Source organism: Homo sapiens, chromosome 10 (assembly GCF_000001405.40).
Source record: "Homo sapiens chromosome 10, GRCh38.p14 Primary Assembly".
Classification (NCBI taxonomy): Eukaryota; Metazoa; Chordata; class Mammalia; order Primates; family Hominidae; genus Homo; species Homo sapiens.
This window is the reverse complement of record NC_000010.11, coordinates 53,837,971-53,856,360: the sequence shown is the minus strand read 5'-3', so window position 1 is coordinate 53,856,360 and position 18,390 is coordinate 53,837,971. Positions and strand designations below refer to the sequence as shown.

Here is an 18,390-nt window from a genome sequence, read left to right as displayed (position 1 = left end):
GATTATTTATTAAACTGCAGTTCTTATATTTTGATACTGTAAAAGATGTTTAAAATATCTTTACTATTTTACCCTTAATTACCCTAATTTAGCTGCCATTATTTTAAATTTTTTTTTCTTTTTTTGGTTACATGAATAATTCTTTAATGGTGAATTCTGAGATTTTGGTGCACACAAGCAGTGTACACTGTACCCAACGTACAGTCTTTATCCCTCACCTCCATCCCACCCTTTCCCCTGAGTCCCCAAACTCCATTGTATCATCTTTATGCATTTGAGTCCTCATAGCTTAGTTTCCACTTATGAGTGAAAACATATGATGTTTGTTTTTTCATTCCTGAGTTACTTCACTTAGAGTAATGGTCTCCAATAATGGCAAATGCCATTATTTTGTTCCTTTTTATGGCTGAATACTATTTCATTACACACACACACATACATATATATATATATATACATATCACCTTTTTTTTTAACTTTTAAGTTCCGGGATACATGTGCAGAACATGCATGCTTGTTACATAGGTATACATGTGCCATGGTGGTTTGCTGCACCTATCAACCCGTTGTCTAGGTTTTAAGCTCTGCCTGCATTAGGTTGTTCTTCTGTGTCTTCTGTTGATTTCAGTTTGACAGAGGTCAATTATCGTCACTGTCAATTTGCCTCTTTAGCAAAATATCATCACTTCAGCTTGCCAGAAGAAGCTTTAAAGAGTCAGATAACTAAACTTTTAGTAATTATATGCCAAATAAAATACAGTAGGCACGGATTAAAGCATATGTGATTTTCCCATAAGAAAAGCATATATGATTCATAACAATTATTTCAGGATAGTTCACAAATTTAACCTTTTGGTGTCATGTAAATTGTTTTATGAGGGTGATGGTTATCAACATTTATGCATGGAATATCAATTGTACAGTGTCTTGTTTATTTCTGCAGAAGTAGTTTATATACACTGAGCCTTTTCAAAATAATAGCTGATTATACTTTAAAAATAATTAGAATTGTGCCTAACTTTTAGCTGCTTTAATAAAAGCCTATTGAGACAGGCTTTCTCTGATTCCGTTGTCTATTATGTAAGAAATGATACCCAGCTTCAAATTTTAACCCTTTATTCTAGTTTATTTTTCTACAAAGCATTATCTAATGTTATTATTATAGTCAATTTCCACTAGAATATTATCTCTACGAATGTATGAGACTTGTGTTTTATTTCTATAACTCCAGTTATATAGTAGACACTTGATACATTTTATTGAAAGGATGTTTTACAAGCAAATCATGATGCCATTTTCTTTATTTTGAGACAAAATTTATCAAACTGAAAAAGAAAATAGCAAAAGTATAGTTTTGCAGGAATTTATAAGATTTTAATGCTTCTTAAGTAGATAGGATGATATAAATAGGAAAAATCAGGTAACTTTCAGGTCTTGAGAGAATCGTATCATTGTGAAGGAAGCTCTGACTTCATAAAACTTTGGATTTAAAACATGAAATTGGGCAAATAATTTAATCTTTTCAACCTCAGTTTCACTGTTAAGAGCTAATAAAACATATAGAATTATTTTGAAAACTGAATTATATAATGTATCTAGGACAATAGAAAGTATGACTATTCGGTGAATGGTAAATATTCCATATAAATGGAGCTAGCAGCTCAAAGTCAGTAGACTTAGGTGGAGAGTGGCTAGGAGTTTTGTACATTTTATTTATTAAGCATTTGGTAATGGAATGCAGATTATGGTTTCAGACACAGAGATTTAGATCCTATTACAGCTCTGTAACCTCTGGACAAGCTACTTAGCACCTAGAGCCACTTTTATTCTTCATGAAAATTGGAATAAAGACCTCTATCTCATGTTGATTTTAAAAGAATTAAATATAAATCTGCGAGTTTATTAAGCAGCACATACATGCCCCATTCCTTTTGTTGTGATTAAAAAACATAGTATAAACATTACCATCTTAAACATTTTTAAGTGTACAGTTTGGTAGTTTTAAGTATATTGACATTGTTTCAAAATAGATTTTCAGAACTTCTTCATTTTGCACAACTGAAATTTGGTACCCATTAAACAAGTTTCCATTCCAGCCTTACCCCTAGACTCTGGGTAACAACCTTTTGTCTTCCTACATGTATAAATTTTACTACTTTAAATACATCATAAAAGTGGAAATTTGCAGTATTTCTCATTTTGTGATTGGATTATTTCACTTAGCATGATATTCCCATGATTCATCCATGTTACAGCTTAGCATGTGATAGAATTTCATTCCTTTATAGAGCTGAATAGTTCTCAATACATACCACATTCTGTTCATCTGTTCACCTCTCAATAGACATTTGGGTTGTTTCCCCCTCTTGGATATTGTGAATAATACTGCTATGAACATAAATATTAAAATATATCTTTTATATCCTGCTTTCATTCTTTTGAGTGCATTCTCAGAAGTGGGATTGCTAAATCATATGGTAGTTCTAATTTAAAGAAAATTGTTTTCTATAGCAGTTGCACCATTTTACAATTTCACCACCAGTGCATAAGCTTTCCAACTTCTCAACCTCCTATCAACACTTTTTATTTTCTGGTTCTTTTTCCTTTTTTATACGTAGTAGCCATACTAATGTGTGAGATGATATATCATTGTCATTTGATTTGATTTCTCTGATGGTTATTGATGATGAGCATCTTTTCAGGTGCTATTGGCCATTGTATATCATCTTTTAAAACATGTCTATTCAAGTCCTTTGCACATTTTTAATTGGGTTACTTGATTTATTTTAGTTGTTTAGTTGTAGGAGTTGTTTAGATATTAGATACTAATCCCTTATCAGATGTAAGATTTGCAAATATTTTCTCCTATTCCATAGGTTGCCTTTTCACCCTGATGATTGTGTCACTAATTGGGCAAAAAGTTTTAAAGTCAGAGGTAGTCCATCTGTCTATTTTTGCTTTTGTTTCCTGTGCTATTGGTGTCATATTCAATAAATCGTTGTCAAATCCAGTGTTACAAAACACCTCTCATACGTTTTATTCTAGGCATTTTATGGTTTGGAGGTCTTATATTTAGATCTTTAATCCATTTTGAGTTAATTTTTGTATATGGTGTAAGATAAGGGTCCAGCCTTTTTTTTTTTACATATGGATATTCCATTTTTTCAATACTAGTTGTTTAAGAAATTGTCCCTTCCATGTCTGATTTCATTTTGTAGATTTTTTTTAAAACCTATGTAAATTTAGAGTTTTCTTAAGCAGAAATATTTCTGATCTCTTTTTGAAACCTACATTAGTAGATGGAAGTGGTAGTGATAAGAACTGTAAGACCTGAGTCAGCACTGTGAAGCCCCAGTGCTCCCCCTATCCATGTCTGGGATGAGTGATGAAAATACACACATAACTCAGGTAGCCATCGGGGTGCCAAATAGTTAATTAAATAGAAGAATTTATTGTTCTAGTGACGAGACCAGTAAACACATTAATTCCCTGTGACATTCTTAGGTGACAAGTTAGTTATCATCAAAGCCATTTCTATATTTCCCTTGAGACATCCCTATCCGATGAAGTGGAAAACTGGAATGTCATGTGATCATTTTTTTTTTTGGTAGACCAATATTTTAGGCAAAAATATAAAGTTTCCTTGGTAAGTATGTAATCAGTACAAATGAGGACACTTGATGAAAGGAAAAATAATGACCTGACATATCCATTTTACAATGGAGCAGATTTTACAAAGATCAGTACACTTTGATAGCTAAGACCGCAGTACCTGGAAAATGGAATGCTTGTAATAAATCTTAGCTGCTGTAATGATTACTCCTCACCTCACTGAATCAGCTGAAATGACTATACTGAAAATTTTTTACTACTTTTTAGATTTTAAGCTTATAAAATTGACCAATTCCCCTAAGTAAGGAAACATATACCTTTTTAATTAGATTAATATATTCAACAAATTCCAGTGAGGATCTGCATCCACTACAGATACCCTTGAATATCTGTGCTCTGACGTATTTTAAGTTGATCTTAGAATTCACCTCTTTGTAAGGCTTGTGGTTTTTTAAATTACTTTTTTTTAAATTAAGGTATAGGAGAAACAGCTGTGAGAATAACAGTAGGGACACGTAACTACAATGGACAAATAATTGGCAAATAATTGTCTAAAGAAGAAACTATGAAATGTTTGCATTTTATAACTTCTTTCTACTCCCAGTTCACCATGAAACTCAAATAAGAGGAATCTGTGGTTCTAAAATTTAAATCCTTAAGCATCTATAAAAGAGATATTTTGAAAATTATAAACTCGAGTTTAGAAACACTGAGTTAGAGTATTTTTGTATGAATCGGAACTGACAACTTATTTCTCAGAGTTGCTCAAACCCATCTCTTACCTTCTGAATAAAATATGAAAATTCAATTATAGTAGAGCTTTACTGAAGTAGTTACTGACTTGATGAGGAAGAGCCTCAACTTTATGAAATATTTATGTAGCACCTGAAATGTGCTGTGTAATCAATCTATAGTTCCTAGAATTAAGGTTACAAAACCTACATTAGAAATGTAGCCAGGATATATATTACGTATATAGAATTTATTTATTTGTATAGTATATATGTATATATGTGTGTGTGTAAATATATATATATATATATATATATATATATATATATATATATATATATATATTTCTAGGAGGATAATTAGAAGGTCTCTCGGGAAGCATACCTATGAAACGCTAACTGCTAGCACATTTTCTTAAATCAATGTAATAAAAACTTGGTTTTAAGGGGAAAGTTTGAGCTCCTTTTTGTTTCAGAGAACCTAGGCTCATTTCCCAGACCACCAAAGACTAGCTAGGAAGTCTTGGGCCAGTCTATCAAACTCTTTGAGTTTTTGCATTTGTATCTTAGAGCTGGGGATTTATTAGTTAAAAAATAAATAGTTACAGATTGTAAGCACTGGAGATTATCAGTGAACAGTGTGAAGTCCCTGCTGCCATGGAGCTTCTATTCGATTGCATAAAAATGGCATATAAAATAACAATATTAATAAATATGTAATATTAAGTTATGTAGTGATAACTGTAATAAAGACAGATAAATACAAGTATCAAGTAGAAAATTTTGGAAGAGAGGTGCTGTTTTAAATAGGATGGTTAAAGAAAGCCTTTCTGATAAGTTGAAATCTGAGAAGACATCTATATTAAGTGATGGAAAAAGTCGTTTGACTATGAGAGAGGAAGAGGCACAATTCCTGATAGAGAACTGCAGTTATGAAAACCCAGAGAAAGAGCCATGCTTGGCTTATTAAAATATAGATATCATGGTAGAAAATCAGTTCTAGGACCTGATAGATCACTTGGACGATTTCAAGTTTTATTCTGTGTGAGATGGAAAGTCCTTAGTTAGACCCATCTGTTCAATATGGTAGCCACTAGATACCTTAAGAGTTTCTTTTGTTATGTAGTCTTCTCCCTAGCTGCCATATTCTACAATTAAATTGCTGTATTGTCTATTACATGCCAATTTTCTCTCAGCATACTTAGCATAAAGATATAGTTGGAGTTGAAGATATTATCAACAGAGAATTGCCATGAATGATTTAATTTTTATCAGATAATGCAGCACACCCATTTTAATAGTACAATTTTTGAAAATAATGTTTCTGTAATAGGAATGTAATAGCTATAAAATAAACTAAAAGCAATCATAAAAATAAAATACAAACCAGAAATATAATAATAAATCCTACCATTTATTATTCAAGGTATAATTTACTATTCTTTAAAAAAAGGTTAAGTGTGACTAAGCTTTATTCAAAGCCTTGGAAATTCATTGTTTTGACAGAAAGAAAATTTATTTGCTACTTTTTGAAATATTCATTTGGAGCATTATTTAGTAGAGAAGTAACCTCTGTTTACAAGAAGAATGACTTGTCTTTAACTCATTAGGTTAATTATGATTAAAGAAATCATAGTTCTTTACAGAACTGAAGATACCCCAATATGCAATTATACAATTAAAAGCTACTATTTTATAATAATCCTTGTGCACATTGCAGTAGCATCTTTAATGCTTAACTCTTTGAAATGTAGAAAAAGCACAGATTTAAAATTCTGTTTTTAGTTAAATATGGCAGGATTTTTAATTGTTTCCAAAACTTTAGTATTGAAATAATCACATGGAACAAAGATGATTATAAACTAAGGTGCTCCATGATTTTCAGTTCTGTTCTATTTTTGAGAGTTAAAAGGTTTTATTTTACGTGGATTCTTAGTTATTATTTGGAGGAATGTTATCTTAGCCCAATATGAGTAAATTGTTTACTTTAAGGATTAATCATCTGTCACATGGCTCAAAGTCACAATAATTAGTGTTTTGTCTCTGATAATATATTTCACGTATATTAAGGTAAGCTTTTTTTTATTTTGTATGACTTGGATTTTCCAAATTTGTACAAATTTTTCTTTCTTTCTTTTTTTTTTTTTTTTTTTTTTTGAGACGGAGCCTTCCTCTGTCGCACAGGCTGGAGTGCAGTGGCGCGATCTCGGCTCACTGCAAGCTCCGTCTCCCGGGTTCATGTCATTCTGCCTCAGCCTCCTGAATTGCTGGGACTACAGGTGCCCGCCACCATGCCCGGCTAATTTTTTATATTTTTAGTAGAGACGAGGTTTCACCGTGTTAGCCACAATGGTCTAGATCTCCTGACCTTGTGATCCGCCTGCCTCAGCCTCCCAAAGTGCTGGGATTACAGGCATGAGCCACCGCGTCCGGCCAATTTGTACATATTTTTCTATAAGCAAAGTTAACCAAAAGCAAATCACTTATCAAGTAGGTTTTACTTTTTTTCTTAAGATTCCATTGCATATTGATTCCGTAAAGGGTCCTGTATGCTGACATGTTTGCTTCAGATAGATATGTTTCTTATTTTAATGGTCGTCATTCATTCATTCATTAACACATTTCTGAATGCTTATAGTCTATTATAACAGCTTCTGTTTGGAAAAAATATATATACATATACAAAATAAATCAACTTTCTTAGTTAACACTTGCCATCTGAGAGATGTAATATAAAAAAAAGAAATCATATTTGCACACTTTCTCCATGCCTTCTCAGCAACATAGAAAAAAAAAGATTAAAAACTAAAGAATGAGGCAGGGCTGCTACATTTAGGTGGTGTATTTTGTCAGAATCAATATTCTTTCTACTTTTTATCTTTTTTACTTTTTTAGTATTCAAACTTTTGGAGACAATGGAAAGCCAAAACAAACAAACAAATAAATGAACATTGAGGACATTTTCATTTTGCTTTTAGGTGAAAAAAGTTTAAAATCTTTGAGCTATTGTTGTTTTCAAAAAGAGATAAATGAGATCTTCCCAGATTAAAAATATATTTTATTGGAAGATCAATTAAAAACACTATGTGTTTAGTTTTAAATCAAAGATAAATATGTTTATGTTGCCTTTATTTGCACTATGAAAATAATACAAACAAAATTTTGGGGAAACTATTTTGTTTAAGAAAATAGCATGATCGAAAGATACATTAAAGAAATAAAATTAATTAATGCACAATGAATCATCGTAATGAAGGTACCCGTATATTAACTGAATCTTTGAATTGTGCTTCAAAATTTTAAAGTGTTTAAAATGTTCTTATCAACTTATGATGGAGAAAAAATAATTGATACAGGTATATTTTTTCCTGAGATTTGAAGGTAAGGGGTTATTCATGTTCAAAAGTGAAATTCACTTATAAAACACTAAGGAAAAAAACATTTCCAGACAACTTTATTTATGTTTTTATTTTAAGATCTAGAAATTAGGAAGAAAAGCAAAGAAAGATTGAGCGGTTAATCTTAACTTGTATTATAATCTGTTTTTCTCCCCTCAAATATCATTCAGTTCAGTTTATTTTTAAGATCTTTTGCTTGTACCAAGTAGAAAATAACTAGAAAATAGTTGTAGTGTAAAAATAAGGACATCATTATATATTATTTTATCAAAACATTTGAATCACAGTTGCTTTATGGAGATCTCTAAAATACATAGTGGACATTTATTTCTTTTAAAATTATTTCCTCTCTTCCTCCTCTTTTTTTTTTTATAACCTAGAAGTTTTGTCAAATTGAACAGCTTGTTATTTTTGTAATTCACCCCAACTCATGGTACAAGGTAGATATATCACTTCCTTTAGAGGCCACTTTAATCATCAAGAGTCAATTCCTCTGTTCTCTTAATCCTATTTATTATTCTTTTCTATACTTTCTTCAATTTATTCACAATTTACCGCAGTCTGTACTGCTGTTTTTTAATGTGAGACATAAACTCCACAAAATGTTTATGCAAGAGAATTCCGTTTGTATCAGAAAGTCATAAATTATATTTTAGATGCTTCCATATATGTCTAATAAATATTAAAGGCTAAATTTAATTTTGTTTTAATTTTCTACCTTATTCCAAAGAAAAACAGAAGTAGTTTACAATGATTCACACAGAAAAAAAGGTAAAATACATTAAAAATGAGTGTAGAAAAATAAAGCAAACAGATGAGAAAGAAGTTAAAGAAAGGATCAGAGTAAGAGTAAGTAATTACAGAGATGCTGCAAAGGCCTGTATAGTCCATATAGAGTAGTCACAAACTTGACTGTCACCTTGTTAGGGCCAAAGTGAAAGAAGCAAACAAGCTAAACAAAAAGAACAGACTCAGTTACAAAATTAACAAAACCATATCTCTTCTGGGACAAAAGAACTCTTTCAAAGTCTAATTCCAGATTAGAGGAAAATATTTTTATCTTGTGGGATACCACAGAGAGGTTACCATGTAATGTAATGAACAAAATGCTCCATGGCATCTAGAGCACTACTTAGGATATGGTCTGGGTAGAGTCCCTGTGGGTCTGTATTAATGGAGGAAAGAAGTTCAGAACAGTAGGAACTGTATGCCTGTATTTTTATCCCTCCAGCCAGCTGCAATGCCTATTGATTAATTTAGCTAAGCTTGTGTAAAAATATTGATAAGCACTTGGGGTGGAACTCTCTATGATGCTAGATAAATATAAGCCATTTACCTCAACAAAAGCCTAAGTAGGGTTTATAATCATGAAATCTGAAGAGTTCTTGTAACCATCACAACAGGTAGCCAACATTTATGACACGCTTCATATTGGTTAGATTTTTGTGCATTTAATGGGTGTAGTCTCCTTAACCTATCACAGAGGACCTTTGAGGTAGGTTTGACTACTTTTCCCACTGTACAGATAAATTCCCTGAAACTTTGAAAAGTTAAGTAATTTCCACAAAGACACAATAATGGAGGTTTAATTTTAATCTACGTCTACCAGCCACCAGCAGATGGAGTTTCCTCTGTTACACTGCCTCTTAGGAGGCAAACCTAATTAAAAACCCAACCCATCTTTTCTTGGGAGTAAACTGAGCATGCAAAACCAGAAATTCTCATCACATGGTAATTTTAACTCAACTCATTCACACAGACAAATGGGTAATTGAGATTATGGCTGCTGTAATAATTTTAGTGTAAAAAAATAAATAAAAAGCTAAATCAACCATGAGTAAATACCTGTCCCAGCTATAAAACTATCAGTAAACACCTTACACTACAGTTTTTCATAATGCAATTTCTAGTTGAAACTAATTGAAGATGTATATACAGGTAACTGGATAAGGTAATGCTGTAAATTGAAATTTAGAGCATCTACCAAAAATAACTTGGTTCAAGAATAAGTAAGTTAAGCGAACCAATTGTTTATTGACACCCTTAGTTTGTGATTTTAAAATAATGCTATCTGCATAGGAAAAAAAATCAGTTAAATAAACCTTTCAGCATTTATTCTAAGAAGGTTATTTAGATAAACTGTTTTGTATTGGACATTAATTAGTATGTGGTACTATACTAACATATGTTACATAAAATGTTTGTATTAGCTATATTAACGTATTTCTTTAGAAGTTTTCTGTTTTTAAAACTTTTCCTAAAGGTGACATAATTAAATAGACATTAACAGGAGTATGTTAGAGAGCATTCAAAGTAAAGTGGAACAATATAGCCTTAAAATGTAATTTTTATTCAATAATTGTAATTATCATCCAAATTTATTAACATATTTTTCACTTTTTAGAAGACCAATCACAGCCAGTTCTCTGTTTTGAGAATGCTCGACATAATCAGATACTGTTTTGCTTCATACTTGATTGTACTATTTGCATTTTAAATACGTATATTGCTACCAAGAAGTCAGATTCAGGGAAATTTTTGGCATTCATTTTTTAATTCTTTTTTTGTTTGTGTGTGTGTGTGTGTGTGTGTGTGTATACACATACACTATTGATATAACCTAGTTGTACATATTTTTGGGATATATGTGATATTTGGATTCATATATATATAATGTGTACTGATAAATCAGCATAATTGGAATATCCATCAACTCCAATATTTTTCTTTGTATTGGGACCATTACAATTCTTCTTATCTAGCTGTTTTGAAATATACAACACATTATTTTTAACTATAAATTCCCTACCGTACTGTTGAATACTATAACTTATTTATTTTCTCTATCTGTATTTTTGTATCCATTAACCATTTTATCATTATCCCCATCTTTCTTCCCCTCTCAGCCTCTGGTAAGCACCATTCTACTCTCTACCTCCATGAGATCCATTTTTTAGCTCCCACATATGAATGAGAATATGTGATATTTCTTCTTTGCCTGGCTTATTCCACTTTACATAATAACCTTCAGTTTCTTCCATGTTTCTGCAAATGACAGGATTTTGTTCTTTTTATGGCTAAATAATATTTGATTGTATATATATACTGTATTTGCTTTATCCACTCATCTGTTGATAAACATTTTGGTTGATTCCATATCTTGACTACTGTGAATAGTGCTGTGATAAACATAGGCATGCAGATAACTCTTCAATATATTGATTTTCTTTCTTTTGGATGTATACCTAGCAGTGGGATTACTGAATCATGTTATAGTTCTATTTTTAGTTTTTTGAGGAACCTCCATACTGTTTTCCATAATGGCTGTACTATTTTACATTCCCCCCAAGAATGTATAAATGTTCCTCCTTCTCCATATCCTTACAGCATTTGTTATTTTTTGTTTGTTTGTTTTTTGACAATAGCAATTACAGTTGGGATGAGATAATATTTCATTGTGATTTTGATTTTCATTGCCTTGATGATTAGTGATGTCGAGCATTTTTTCATATGCCTATTGACTCTTTGTATATCTTCTTTTGAGAATTGTCTATTCAGATCCTTGGCCCATTTTTAAATTGGATTATTTGGTTTTTATCTGTTGAGTTCCTTATATATTCTGGTTATTAATCTCTTGTTGATTGGATAGTTTGCAAATATTTTCTCTTATTCTATAGGTTGTCTCTTTGACAATTGTTTCATTTGCTGTGTAAAAGCTTTTCTGCCTAATGTAATCCCATTTGCCTATTTTTGCTTTCATTGGAAAATTTATATTTCTTTGGAGTCTTACAAAATCTTTGCTCACACCAATGTCCTGAAGTCTCTTCCCAATATTTTCTACTAGTAGTTTTACAGTTTTATGTCTTATGTTTAAGCTTTTAATCCATTTTGAGTGGATTTTTGTACATAGAAAAAGATGGGAATCTATTTTTATTTTTCTGAATATGGATATCCAGTTTCTTATCATCATACATTAAAAATTGTCCTTTCCCCAGTGTATGTTCTTCACATCTTGGTCAAAAATGATTGGCTGTAAGAGTGTGGATTTATTTTGGAGTTTTCTCTTCTGTTTCATTGGTGTACGTGTCTGTTTTTATGGTCATATCATGTTTTTTCCAAAAAAGCAAATTTTCTGTTTCTTGATTTTTTGTGTTTTCTTTTTGGTCAAAGTTTTGCTTATATCTGCTCTGATATTTATATTTTATTTCATATGGCTAATAGTCATGGATTGGGTTGTGTCTTTTCTTCTAAATTATTGAGTAGGCTGAGCATTTAATGAACCTTCATGTACTTAAGTTCTTTACTAACTAGTTTTCCTGATTCTACTCAGCCTAGTCTCAACACAGCAACCAGTGTGCCTCCTTTAAATGTAAGGTAGATCATATTACTTTAGTATTCAAAACCAGCAACAGATTCTTATCTCACTCAGAACAAAAAACAATGCTCTTACAATCCTCAAAGTCCCCACGTGATCTGCTCTGGCCACACACTACTACATCAGCACATTTATACAAGCAGTTAGCAATTCTCTTTTCTTAGAACACTCATTCCTAGAATAGCCACAGCACACATTGTTCCCTAAAGTTTTTGCTCAAATATCAAAGTCTCAATGATATTTATTCTGAACACTTTTACCAATTTTATCAATCCATGATCTGTTACTTGTCTTGTTCAATTTGAATGTAAATTCTTCTTTGACATCAAAGATTGTATTTTGTTCACTGATGTATTCCATGTGTCTGGAATGGCTTCTGGCCCAGGATAGGCATTGAATAAACATCTGTTGAAGGAATGAATAAATGAAAATTTTCCTACTTAACACTTCCCTGAGTGAGTTTTGCTATAATTTTATGAAAAGCCCTGAATCCAATTTAATTTTTTTCATTTTTAAACTAGAAAATATAGATTTATATGAAGACTTTTTTTATCACGAAGTTGGGGAGAGGAAATAGGGAGTTAAGGAGATTTTTTAAAAATATAACTATATTGTTCTTTTATTCCCATTATAAAGAAATATAAGCAATATAATATATGAAGAAGAAAGTTATAAAAGGTAAACTCAAAATCATACCATCCAGCTCTAAGCATTATTAACATTACATAAACATCATTATGGACATCTTTCTTGATATGTGTGTGTATGATACAAATATTATGGGTTAGATAAACATCATTGCAAATCTCTTTTTCTTTGTGTGTGTGGGGGTATATGTATATATGTGAGGAAATTTATATACATATAGGTAATGAATATAGATGTAGAAAATACTTAGTATATAGATATAGATGATAAATGAAAAGATAGATTTTTATGAAATGTGTTCTCAATTAAAAGGTATTTAGTTTTACTTACATTTATAAGAAAAAGATACAGAAGCAGTTAAGATTAGGCTATATCTCTTTTTATCATAAGATATACTTTGTCCCAAAAGATCTTTAAAAGTTTAACAAAAAAATGCTCAAAGTGAAGACATTATTGCATGTTTTAAATGACATAATTTGTTTTTAGACTTCTTTTATTCATGATTCCCTGCTACCATGAAGGAATTGGTACAGTTATATTTTATTCCACATCTATTTTTTTTAGTGAAATGATTCTGCAGTATTGCACTGAAAATAGAAAAGAACCCAAGCACAATAGATATGTTTCTTCACTGTAGGATCACACACAATTAATCTATGCTTATATGAAGGATTTCCTTGGAACATGTCAAATCAATGCCAAAATGCACTGGAGAAGGCATAAATTGTTAGACCAAAGTATTGGGACAGAGAGCCATCTATTGCATTGTATTTAACTAGGTACTCCTGTTTGCGTTTTGATTTGTGAACTGATTGATTATACTAGTGAGAAGTATACTTTCCTATTCCACAAATTAATTAAAGGCCTTGAATGAATTTGAGACAAGGAAGAAGCTTATTAATGGAAATATTTCAGTCAAATTAATAAAAATAAGATTCATTTTGTTGAATAGTTACTATGTGCTAGGAACTGTGTAAAAGCTTTATTTCACCGAATGCACATTCAGCCCCATGTGGTACATTATTTCCTTGTTTTCTATTTAAGGAAACATGGCCAGATGTGATGCTCATGCCTGTAATCCCAGCACTTTGAAAGGCCGAGGCGGGCGGATCACTTGAGGTCAGGAATTTGAGACCAGCCTGACCAACATGGTGAAACACTGTCTCTACTAAAAAATACAAAAATTAGCCAGGTGTGGTGGTGCATGCCTGTAATCCAGGCGTGAGACAGGAGAATCCCTTGAACCCGGGAGGTGGAGGTTGCAGTGAGCCGAGATTGCCCCATTGCACTCCAGCCTGGGCGACAGAATGAGACTCCATCTCAAAAAGCAAACAAACAAACCTGAGACTTTGAGAGCTTAAGATTACTTGTCTAAGGTTATGCAATTGAAAGGCAAAGGAAATTAAAATTGAAGCCAGCCAGACATCTGTACTCCTCAACATTATATCATTATTGTTTGTGCCTCCTACAAAATGTCAAGAGTATAATATGGTTTGACTCCGAGGCCTCTCTTATTTTTGTTAAATGAGCATAAATCTCTCAGGAAAAAAAATCTGAAAAACACAGTCCAAATGATGTTAGACTAGTCTGTGTCTCTCAGTACATCCATTATCTTCAGGTTCCCGGGGTTGTTTTTTTTTTTTTTTTTTCCCTTTGGAGATAAAATCTTGCTCTGTCGCCCAGGCTGGAGTCACTGCAACCTCCACCTCCCGGGTTCAAGCGATTCTTCTGTTTCATCTCCCGACTAGCTGGAATTGCAGGCATTCAACTATTAACTGATATTTTCCAAGTGAATTTGCTCCTCCTCCTTTTTTACACATCATCTTTTCTTAGTCTACTTCAAGGATGTCATCAGAAAAGAAATTGCGAAGCCGAGAGACCAGTGGGCGTGGAGTGGTGACAGAAAAGGAAAATAATGAATAGTACTTCAATAAGACAGACTTCAACAGTACTGGGTTACAAACATTTAAAAACAAGCAAGCAAACATTTCACTATGATTGGTAGTGTCTCCTGGCATGCACTGGTAGAGCCATTTCCTCCAAAGTTTAGTAACCTCATTGTTCTAATAACAAGGCAAACCAAGCACATACAAGACTCTTAAGGGAATATACTTTCAGTCGAGCAAGAAATATGTCAATTGTGGCATTAGAAGCAAAAGTTATTTTCTGATGTATCAAAGGACTTTAGAATATATTGCCCTTCTCCCCCTAAAAAAACCTCAAAATATAGACTCAGAAAAGAGCATTGAGTCTACGAATTTTAGAATATTTATCATATATAGTAATTAAAATTATTTAAATTTAAACATCTGTAAATACTGAATTATATGCTCTTAATATTTATATACTTGGGTTAATAATATAAAGTTTTTAATAAGGAATGAGACATTTGGGAAATGGTAATAATTCATACTTTCAATTAAAATCCAGTCATGAGATGGGAAAATTACTTATTGATTAATATTGTCTCTGCTTTTTAAATTAAATATCACTAATTTATACCAGATGGTATATGTTGTTTTTATTCACCTAAATAGTGTCTGAGATTTGCATGCCATATTTTTATCTTAACGTGGTAATCCTGCCATTGCAAAATATCTCCACATTCTCCCGTTGCTGTGATTCTGCAAGGATTTTTATACCTTTGGGAAAACAGGCATCCTAGTCCTGCTTCTTAGCATATAGCTACGTGTCATGTGTCACAGACTTTAGTGGGAGATGTAATTTATGACACCAACCATGTGAAGTCAAGGGTTCTAAGACCCCATGCCTCCTATAAAGCATAGACAGCTTTATTTGTACAGCATATTTGGCATTTCTCATGTAAAAGCTCAAATAGTATCATAAATTCAAAAAGCCTAAAGTTAAATAGGACATGGTTGGTGACCTTTTCTACCGTATTCAGCTTCTAGCATCATTGGGAGCTAAATGCTGAAAAAATATAGAGAATGTTTTTCAAGGGTTTATATTCAGTAAACATTAACAAAAAACTAGGCTGTCATCATTTTTCATTTACTAAATGTCTTTTCAAGTTAAGAGTAATTTTTTACTCCCAGAAAGCCCATTGGACTGTCATGTTTGTACTTTGTTTGATTTATAGGATCTTGGATCGCTATGTTCAGGAACAAATTCCTGGTGCCAAGGTCGTAGTGGAGTCCATTGGAGCTCGCCGGCATGGAGATGCCTTTTCCCTAGAAGATTACACCAAATGTGACTTGACTGTCTATGCAATTGACCCCCAAACCAACAGAGCCATCGATAGAAATGAGCTTTTTAAGTAAGTGCTTTTTGTTATCTGTAACAGCTCTTTGGTTACAATAGCAACCATAGATGATTCTGACTTGAGGCTATAAGTACTTAAAGTTTAAAACCCACCAAATAGTTACTGAAAGTGAAGTGTAAGCAAAGAACCTGAAATACCTAGGATTCTCATGCCTTAAAGTTTTCAGGTCTAAGTGTGGGCTACAGTGACTTCAGAGGGCCCATTTTCTTTATGGGCATCAGATGACCTTTTGTACTTAAGAACAAGGAACAGCTCCTTGAAATCACCTGCTGCCAGCTCCTCACTCTTGCTCAAGGGCACTGGCTATTAATGAGGAAAGCACAGATTCTTAAAGAGGCAGTTTTTCTGCAATGATTTTCATATGCTTGCATTTTAAGAAGAAATCCACCTTTCTTACAGGTCTACTAAATCAGCAAAAATCAATATCTGCTTTTTTCTTTAACTTACAGGTGGAGAGCAGGTGGGATAATCATTCCCATTTAAGTTCATGCTCTATGTGAAATTTCATCCTAGCAGGAACTTAAAAATTTGAGTTATAAATCCTAAAAATAAATAAAGTGCAGAATCTTAAAGAAAATCCTGCTACTTACTTTCTTTGGATGTTATTCGAGCACACTTAAATACTTAAAAAAAAAAAAATTGTTAACAGAATTTTCTTTACTCTGGTGACACCTAGTGTCCAACTGGGTCTTGTAATGAAATTCTATCTCAATGAAACATTTTTAGTTAAAAATATATATTGATATACAATCATAATAGTTTATATGTGCCTGTATATATAGTCATGCCGAACTCTATATGTGAAACATCATAATTTAGTTTTTCTTTGTCTATACTTTTTAAACAGCATATAAACATATCCATATACACATTTACAAATATATCTATATTATGTGTATGTAAATTTATTTATTTTGTAAATATCTATTCAATTTTTATTCAAATTAATAAATTCTGAATTTAGTTTTATTTTAAATGTGTTCATCGACAAAATTTCATCACTTCTATTTTGGCAATAATAAAATAATGATTTAATATCAGCTAAAATTTTTTAAAAGCCATAATTATTTAACATGTTACTCATCAATTCTTTTTTTTTTTTTTTTTTTTTGAGACGGAGACTCACTCTGTGCCCCAGGCTGGAGTGCAGTGGCGCAATCTCGCTCACTGCAAGCTCCACCTCCCGGGTTCACGCCATTCTCCTGCCTCAGCCTCCTGAGAAGCTAGGACTACAGGCGCCCGCCACCACGCCCAGCTAATTTTTTGTATTTTTAGTAGAGACGGGGTTTTACCATGTTAGCCAGGATGGTCTCGATCTCCTTACCTGGTGATCCGCCCGCCTTGGCATCCCAAAGTGCTGGGATTACAGGTGTGAGCCACCGTGCCTGGCTCATCAATTCATTTTTAATAGATATTTGGGCCATGTGCAAAACAGGATACTAACCGTGGAGGAAATATAGATGAATGAAGTAATAGCTCGCACTCTGATTTTATAGTCACCACCAAAATGAAGCAACATTTAGATCTACCAAGCCAATTTTTTGTAAGTTTTATTAATTTAAAAAGTTTATTAATTTAAAAAGTTTAGGAATAAACTTCCAAAGTAATTCATATATATTCTTTCGATTGTCAGAAAATCAACACATTTCTTTTTTATGTGAATCTACCTGCATTCTGTGTTTTTTGCATACATTAGTTTTGTTTTTAAATTTCACGATTGATTGAGTTTAGGGTGTTTTTACCTGAATATAAAAATATGTATTATATTTGGGCTAACTTTAAAGAGTAAAATAATGGTGATTAGAATTTGAATTTAACTAGCAAACCTTCTAGAGATTAAATATTTGGGGAAAAAAAAGCCACTTGGGTTTTAAGTGACACCATGAAATACAAGATGAACATCTTTAATTAATTCTAAATAAGTTTTTCCAAACCTAAATTATATTATGGACAGTAAACATCTAAATTCAATAAAATAACTATCATAGCCAGCAGGCAAGGAAAAAACAGAATATATATAAATCATAAAATAAATTTTTGGCCGGGCGCGGTAGCTCACGCCTGTAATCCCAGCACTTTGGGAGGCCGAGGTGGGTGGATCACGAGGTCAGGAGATCGAGACCATCCTGGCTAACACGGTGAAACCCCGTCTCTACTAAAAATACAAAAAATTAGCCGGGCATGGTGGCGGGCACCTGTAGTCCCAGCCACTTGGGAGGCTGAGGCAGGAGAATGGCGTGAACCCAGGAGGCCGAGCATGCAGTGAGCAAGATCATGCCACTGCACTCCATCCTGGGCAAGAGAGCAAGACTCTGCCTCTAAATAAATAAATAAATAAATAAA

The 18,390-nt window shown here is 32.5% G+C and overlaps 1 protein-coding gene across 19 annotated transcripts in view; it reads left to right on the top strand.

Moving 5' to 3' along the window:
* Positions 1–18,390, top strand: part of PCDH15 (protocadherin related 15) — a 1,825,172-nt gene that overhangs the window by 1,771,582 nt on the left and 35,200 nt on the right. For all 19 annotated transcript variants that reach the window (XM_047425663.1, NM_001354420.2, NM_001354429.2 and 16 more), the window contains one exon: positions 15,865–16,041. In XM_047425663.1, coding sequence (XP_047281619.1) covers positions 15,865–16,041 — 177 coding nt within the window. The remainder of the gene's footprint in view (positions 1–15,864; positions 16,042–18,390) is intronic.